This window comes from Homo sapiens, chromosome 1 (genome assembly GCF_000001405.40).
Source record: "Homo sapiens chromosome 1, GRCh38.p14 Primary Assembly".
Taxonomy (NCBI): Eukaryota; Metazoa; Chordata; class Mammalia; order Primates; family Hominidae; genus Homo; species Homo sapiens.
Window position 1 is genome coordinate 238,900,151 of NC_000001.11, and position 8,727 is coordinate 238,908,877.

Genomic DNA, 8,727 nt, shown 5'->3' on the forward strand with positions numbered 1-8,727 from the left:
TTTGTTAATTACAGTCACTTCCAAGATGGCCAAATAGGAACAGCTCTGGTCTACAGCTCCCAGTGAGACTGACGTAGAAGACGGGTGATTTCTGCATTTCCAACTGAGGTACCTGGTTTATCTTAGTGGGTGCAGCCCACGGAGGTTGAGCCAAAGCAGGACAGGGCATTGCCTCACCCAGGAAGCACAAGGGGTCAGGATATTTCCCTTTCCTAGCCAAGGGAAGGCATGAGTGACTGTACCTGGAGGAATGGTACACTCCTGCCTAAATACTGTGCTTTTCCCATGGTCTTCACAACCAGCAGATCAGGAGATTCCCTCCTGTGCCTGATTTGGCAGGTCCCATGCCCACGGAGCCTTGCTCGCTGCTAGCACACCAGTCTGAGATCGACCTGGGACGCTGGCGCTTGGTGGGGGGAGGGGTATCCGCCATTGCTGAGGTTTGAGTAGGTGGCTCTATGCTCACAGTGTAAACAAAGCAGCAGGGAAGCTCAAACTGGGTGGAGCCCACACCAGCTCAGCAAGGCCTACTGCCTCTCTAGATTCCACCTCTGGAGGCAGGACATATCTGAACAAAAGGCAGCAGACAGCTTCTACGACTTAAACGTCCCTGTCTGACAGCTCTGAAGAGAGCAGTGGTTCTCCCAGCATGACATTTGAGCTCTAATAATGGACAGACTGCCTCCTCAAGTGGGTCCCTGACCCCCATGTAGCCTGACTGGGAGACACTTCCCAGTAGGGGCAGACCGACACCTCATACAGGCAGATGCTCCTTTGGGACGAAGCTTCCAGAGAAAAGATCAGGAAGCAATATATGCTGTTCTGCAGCCTCCACTGGTGATACCTAGGCAAACAAGGTCTGGAGTGGACCTCCAGCAAACTCCAACAGACCTGCAGCTGAGGGGCCTGTCTGTTAGAAGGAAAATGAACAAACAGAAAAGAATAGCATCAACATCAACAAAAAGGACATCAACACCAAAACCCCATCCATAGGTCAACAACATCAAAGACCAAAGGTAGATAAAACCACAAAGATGGGGAGAAACCAGAGCAGAAAGGCTGAAAATTCAAAAAATAACCAGCTAGCACCATAATGACAGGATCAAATTCACACGTAACAATATTAACCTTAAATGTAAATGGGTTAAATGCCCCAGTTAAAAGACACAGAGTGGCAAATTGGATAGAGTCAACACCCATTGGTGTGCTATATTCAGGAGACGCATCTCACGTGCAAAGACAGACATAGACTCAAAAGAAAGGAATGGAGGAAGATCTACCAAGCAAATGGAAAGCAAAAAAAAAAAAAAAAAAAAAAAAAAAGCAAGGGTTGCAATCCTGGTCTCTGATAAAACAGACTTTAAACCAACAAAACTCAAAAGAGACAAAGAAGGCCATTACATAATGGTAAAGGCATCAACTTAACAAGAAAAGCTAACTATCCTAAACATATATACACCCAATAGAGAAGCACCCAGATTCATAAAGCAAGTTCTTAGAGACCTACAAAGAGACTTAGACTCCCACACAATAACAACGGGAGACTTTAACACCCTACTGTCAATATTAGACAGTTCAATGAGACAAAAACTTAACAATGATATCCAGGACTTGATCTCAGCTCTGGACCAAGTGGATCTAATAGACATCTACATCTACAGAACTTTCCACCACATATCAACAGAATATACATTCTTCTCAGCACCACATCACACTTATTCTAAAATTGACCACATAATTGAAGTAAAACAATCTTCAGCAAATGCAAAAGAACGGAAATCATAACAAATTGTCTGTCAGACGACAGTGCAATCAAATTAGAACTCAGGATTAAGTAATTCAATCAAAACTGCACAACTACATGGAAACTGAACAACCTGCTCCTGGATGACTACTGGGTAAATAACGAAATGAAGGCAGAAATAAAAATGTTCTTTGAAAGCAATAAGAACAAAGACACAATGTACCAGAATCTCTGGGACACATTTAAAGTGGTGTGTAGAGGGAAATTTATAGCACTAAATGCCCACAAGAGAAAGTAGGAAAAGTCTAACATCAACATCCTGACATCACAATGAAAAGAACTAGAGAAGTAGGAGCATACAAATCCAAAAGCTAGCAGAAGAAAAGAAATAACTAAGATCAGAGCAGAACTGAAGGAGATAGAGACACAAAAAAACCCTTCAAAAAATCAATGAATCCAGGAACTGTTTTTTTGAAAAGATCAACAAAATAGATAGACCCCTAGCAAGACTAATAAAGAAGAAAAGAGAGAAGAATCAAATAAAGGCAATAAAAAATGATAAAGGGGATATTACCACTAATCCCACAGAAATACAAACTACCATCAGAGAATACTATAAACACCTCTTTGCAAATAAACTAGAAAATCTAGAAGAAATGGATAAATTCCTGGACACAAACACCCTCCTAAGACTAAATCAGGAAGAATTTGAACCTCTGAATAGATCAATAACAGGTTCTGAAATTGAGGCAATAATTAACAGCCTAAAACTAAAAAAAGTCCAGGACCACATGGATTCACAGGCAAATGCTATCAGAGGTACAAAGAGGAGCTGGTACCATTCCTTCTGAAACTATTCCAATCAATAGAAAAAGAAGGAATCCTCCATATCTCATTTTATGAGGCCAGCATCATCCTGATACCAAAGCCTGGCAGCGACACAACAAAAAGAGAATTTTAGTCCAATATCCCTGATGAACATCGACGGGAAAATCCTCAATAAAATACTGGCAAACTGAATTCATCAGCACATCAAAAAGCTTATCCACCACGATGACGTCAGCTTCATCCCTGGGATGCAAGGTTGGTTCAATATACGCAAATCAATAAACGTAATCCATCACATAAACAGAACCAACAACAGAAGCCACATGATTATCTCAATAGATGCAGAAAAGGCCTTCGACAAAATTCAACAGCTTTTCATGCTAAAAACTCTCAATAAACTAGGTATCAATGGAATGTATCTCAAAATAATAAGAGCTATTTATGACAAACCCACAGCCAATATCATACTGAGTGGGCAAAAGCTGGAAGCATTACCTTTGAAAACTGGCACAAGACAAGGATGCCCTCTCTCATCACTCATATTCAACATATTGTTGGAAGTTCTGGCCAGGGCAATCAGGCAGGAGAAAGAAATAAAATGCATTCAATTAGGAAAAGAGGAAGTCAAATTGTCTCTGTTTCCAGATGACATGACTGTATATTTAGAAAACCCCATCGTCTCAGCCCAAAATCTCCTTAAGCTGATAAGCAGCTTCAGCAAAGTCTCACCATACAAAATCAATGTGCAGAAATCACAAGCATTCCTATACACCAATAACAGACAAACAGAGAGCCAAATCAGGAGTGAACTTCCATTCACAATTACTACAAAGAGAATAAAATACCTAGGAATCCAACTTACAAGGGATGTGAAGGACATCTTCAAGAGAACTACAAACCACTGCTCAGCAAAATAAAAGAGTACACAAACAAATGGAAGAACATTCCAGGACCATTCAGGACATAGGCATGGGCAAGGACCTCAGGTCTAAAACACCAAAAGCAATGGCAACAAAAGCCAAAATTGACAAATGGGATCCAATTAAACTAAAGAGCTTCTGTACAGCAAAATAAACTACCATCAGAGTGAACAGGCAACCTACAAAATGGGAGAAAATTTTTGCAACCTACTCATCTGACAAAGGGCTAATATCCAAAATCTACAATGAACTCAAACAAATTTACAAGAAAAAAACAAACAACCCCATCAAAAAGTGGGCGAAGGACATGAACAGACACTTCTCAAAAGAAGTCATTTATGCAGCCAAAAAACACATGAAAAAATGCTCACCATCACTGGCCATCAGAGAAATGCAAATCAAAACCACAATGAGATAGCATCTCACACCAGTTAGAATGGCAATCATTCAAGAGTCAGGAAACAACAGGTGCTGGAGAGGATGTGGAGAAATAGGAACACTTTTACACTGTTGGTGGGACTGTAAACTAGTTCAACCCTTGTGGAAGTCAGTGTGGCAATTCCTCAGGGATCTAGAACTAGAAATACCATTTGACCCAGCCATCTCATTACTGGGTATATACCCAAAGGATTATAAATCATGCTGCTATAAAGACACATGCACACGTATGTTTATTGCGGCACTATTCACAATAGCAAAGACTTGGAACCAACCCAAATGTCCAACAATGATAGACTGGATTAAGAAAATGTGGCATATATACACCATGGAATACTATGCAGCCATAAAAAATGATGAGTTCATGTCCTTTGTAGGGACATGGATGAAATTGGAAATCATCATTCTCAGTAAACTATCGCAAGAACAAAAAACCAAACACCGCATATTCTCACTCATAGGTGGGAATTGAGCAATGAGAACACATGGACACAGGAAGGGGAACATCACACTCTGGGGACTGTTGTGGGGTAGGGGGAGGGGGGAGGGATATCTTTAGGAGATATACCTGATGCTAAATGACGAGTTAATGGGTGCAGCACACCAGCATGACACATGTATACATATGTAACTAACCTGCACATTGTGCACGTGTACCCTAAAACTTAAAGTATAATAATAAAAAAAAAGAACATTCCATGCTCATGGATATGAAGAATCAATATCGTGAAAATGGCCATACTGCCCAAGGTAATTTATAGATTCAATGCTATCCCCATCAAGCTTCCACTGACTTTCTTCACAGAATTGGAAAAAAACTACTTTATGTTTTATAGGGAACCCAAAAGGAGCCCATATATCCAAGACAATCCTAAGCAAAAAGAACAAAGCTGGAGGCATCACGCTACCTGACTTCAAACTATACTACAAGGCTACAGTAAATGAAACAGCATTGTACAGGTACCAAAAGAGATATACAGACCAATGGAACAGATGGAACAGAACAGAGGCCTCAGAAATAACACCACACATCTACAACCATCTGTTCTTTGACAAACCTGACAAAAAAAGGCAATGGGGATAGGAATCCTTTTTAATAAATGGTGCTGGGAAAACTGGGTAGACATATGTAGAAAGCTGAAACTGGATCCCTTCTTTACATCTTATACAAAAATTAACTCAAGATAGATAAAAGACTTAAATGTAAGACGTAAAACCATAAAAACCCTAGAAGAAAACCTAGGCAATACCATTCATGACATAGACATGGGCAAAGACTTCATGTCTAAAACACCAAAATCAATGGCAACAAAAGCCGAAATGGACAAATGGGATCTGTTTAAACCAAAGAACTTCTGCACAACAAAAGAAACTATCAACAGAGTGAAAAGGCAACCAACAGAATGGGAGAAAATTTTTGCAATCTATCCATCTGACAAATGGCTAATATCCAAAATCTACAAAGAACTTAAACAAATTTATAAGAAAAAAACAAACAACCCCATCAAAAAGTGGGCAAAGGATATGAACAGACACTTCTCAAAAGAAGACATTTATGCAGCCAACAGACATATGAAAAAATGCTCATCATCACTGGTCATCAGAGAAATGCAAATCAAAACCACAATGAGATACCATCTCATGCCAGTTAGAATGGCGATCATTAAAATGTCAGGAAATTACAGATGCTGGAGAGGATGTGGAGAAATAGGAACACTTTCAAACTGTTGGTGGGAGTGTAAATTAGATCAACCATTGTGGAAGGCAATGTGGCGATTCTTCAAGGATCTAGAACTAGAAATACCATTTGACCCAGCAATCCCATTACTGCGTTTATACCCAAAGGATTATAAATCATGCTACTATAAAGACACATGTACACGTATGTTTATTGCAGCACTATTCACAATAGCAAAGACTTGGAACCAACCCAAATGTCCATCAATAATAGACTGGATAAAGAAAATGTAGCACATATACACCATGGAATACTATGCAGCCATAAAAAAGGATGAGTTCCTGTCCTTTGCAGGGACATGGATGAAGCTGGAAACCATCATTCTCAGCAAAACATCACAAGGACAGAAAACCAAACACCATGTGTTCTCACTCATAAACGGGAGTTGAACAAAGAGAACACATGGATACAGGAAGGGGAACATCACACACCAGGGCCTGCTGGGGGGTATGAGGTTGGGAGAGGGATAGCGTTAGGAAAAATACCTAATGTAAATGATGAGTTGATGGATGCAGCAAACCAACATGGCACATGTATACCTATGTAACAAACATGCACGTTGTGCACATGTACCCTAGTATAATAAAAAAATTTTAAAAAAGAAATAAACCAATTTTACCAACACACTTGCAGTTTAAAACAAAAATAAAACACAGTAAAAGAAGAAGCTTCCAAATTAAAAGCATATATTTGTGATTTCTATTTATTTAGAAAATGCAAGAGGACAACACCCACAAAAAAATAAAAATAAAAATAAAATAAAACTCTTAGTATTTAGTTACATCTAAAAAATTATGTTAATTATAACAATATAGTATTATATTAGGTTAATAAGGTTCATTGTAACATATTTTTATTATAAATTTATGTTTATTTGTGGTAGGTGTTTAGGTTGCTGGCTCAATTATTTAACAGTACTCTTTTCTGTTTTTTTAATAATGAATTTTAAATCTCTTTTCTGATCCTGATAAATATGCTATTTACTCACTTGGTTTTATTCCTTCTTTTACTCTTTACGGCTATTTTATTGGTATATTAGAGACAGAGGCAATGAATAGGGCTGATTTATATACAACATTTAACCAAAAATCTAGTAATTAAAAAATAAATTCCATTGTTTTAAAGGAACACTTAGCATAAAATTTTAAAAAGTAGAAATAAGACCACAAAACCTTTTCCAAAATTCCAATATCTATAGACAACTACTGAAATTCTTATATATTTACTTTCAGACTTTTTCTTTCTATTCATACATACTTGGATACTTTATATCCAAGTCTGTATTCTTTTATTTTCATATATCATTATATCAACAGAATTTTCAAACTTTGTTATCAAGTCTTTATAAGCACAATTTCACTAATCCATAAGTATATGAATTACATTTTTTCTCTACAAAATTGTATTGGTTTCTCTTGTTTGAAAGTCTGTGCATAAGCTTACACTCCAAGTTTATGTCTTCAGTCTAAACTTCCTTTCTGAATTCTAGTTTCATATAATCAACAGCATATTTGATATCTACAATGAGTCATCTAACATTTAAAGTACCCAAAATGTAACTGACAACTTTTCTCCAAAGTATGCTCTCTTGTTCTTATTTCAGAATAGGAAACCACTACAACACTGAAGAAAGCTAAAACCGAGGGCATTATATCATCCTTTCTCACACACACGTCCAAGTTCTGTTTTATCTGAAAAGAATATCTATAGTCTGTGCATTTCTCTCTATCTGTGGCAACCATTACCTAATCATCATTTCCTTCATGGACTACTGTAATAACTTTCTAAATGTTCCACAATTACTTTAGCATTTACGGTACTTTATTTAAGATGTTACTCTGTGATAAAACCGTTCAGTGTTCCTCATTGTACCCAGCATAAAACAATATGATCAACAAAGTCCTTTAAATATCTGACTTATATTTCTAGTATCATCTTTTGCCTCTCTTCTCCTCGATTCATATATTCTTTCAGTTTAGAATGTCAAGTTCTTTCACAGCTTAGTACCTTTGCCAGTGTTTCCACCGATTCTCTTCTCTTTGCACGGGTTTTGGATTGCAAGCTTCAAGCCTAAACTTAACTCTCTTACCATCTTACTGTCTTCAGAGAACTTTTATTATTAAAATTCCATGTTTCTGTATCCTCTAGCGCTTACCCAAATTTCTGTGCTATACAGTTTGATTTCTTCTTTAGCTTTCAATGTAAATGTTGCTTATTTCTTTCCTATTTGATGTTCTTGTGTATTTTTTAGAAAGTTGGTTGAGGTTTCTGCATTGTGTCATCTTGTTATTTTATTAGGGATTTTAACTCTGAGTGTGTGAAGAGTTGACCTACAAGCAGAGATCAATGACAAGGAGGCAAGGGCTGAAAGTAACCAGCTCTTCTGAAATTCTGCTGCACCAATATATGATACTATCATTTAGCATTTAACATTCTCTGCTTCGTCACAGAATCAGATATTCTTTAAAATCAGATGCGACTATGAATAAGTTTTTAAAAATCAGTTGAAATCTTAAAAGGCAGAGAGTCCAATGCCTCCATTTTATAGAAAGGAAAAATTAAACTTAGACTCTGAAATATTAGGTGCATATAAATATGTTTTTATGGATCATCTACTCAATGGATAGAGTTGTATAGTACAGTACAAGCTAGAGTACAATGTTGTGTACTCTAGATTCAGCATCTACTGCATGCATTATTTACAGTAATACAAATTTAGCCTAATTGGTCTCCTTACAAATTTACTTTTCTTGCTTATCAGGCACAAAAACATTTAACTCTCTAACTAATGAGTGTATCCTAATCTTATCTCACCTGTAAATATTCAGATTAAGCTAAATATATTTATTTAGGAAAGATAAACTATTAGGTCACCAGTAGAATTATAATTTGGAAGCATAATAATGAAAGTGAGATGCATTGTAATTAAAAACTAGCTGTAATTCTGAATTAAAGAAAGTGGCCCTCTTTTTCCAGCTGTGCCATTAAGTAAATAGTGTTGTGGTTTGGAGTAAATGATTTAATCTCCTTTGTCTTCATTTTCCTCATTTGCGAAATTT

General features: G+C 37.2%; 1 annotated feature.

The window, feature by feature from the left end:
* Positions 414-927: an enhancer, noted in NCBI's record as "H3K27ac-H3K4me1 hESC enhancer chr1:239063864-239064377 (GRCh37/hg19 assembly coordinates)". NCBI's record gives its function as "activates a minimal SCP1, AML or CMV promoter by ChIP-STARR-seq in naive H9 embryonic stem cells {active_cell/tissue: H9 hESC(naive)}" and the evidence as "EXISTENCE:reporter gene assay evidence [ECO:0000049][PMID:30033119]".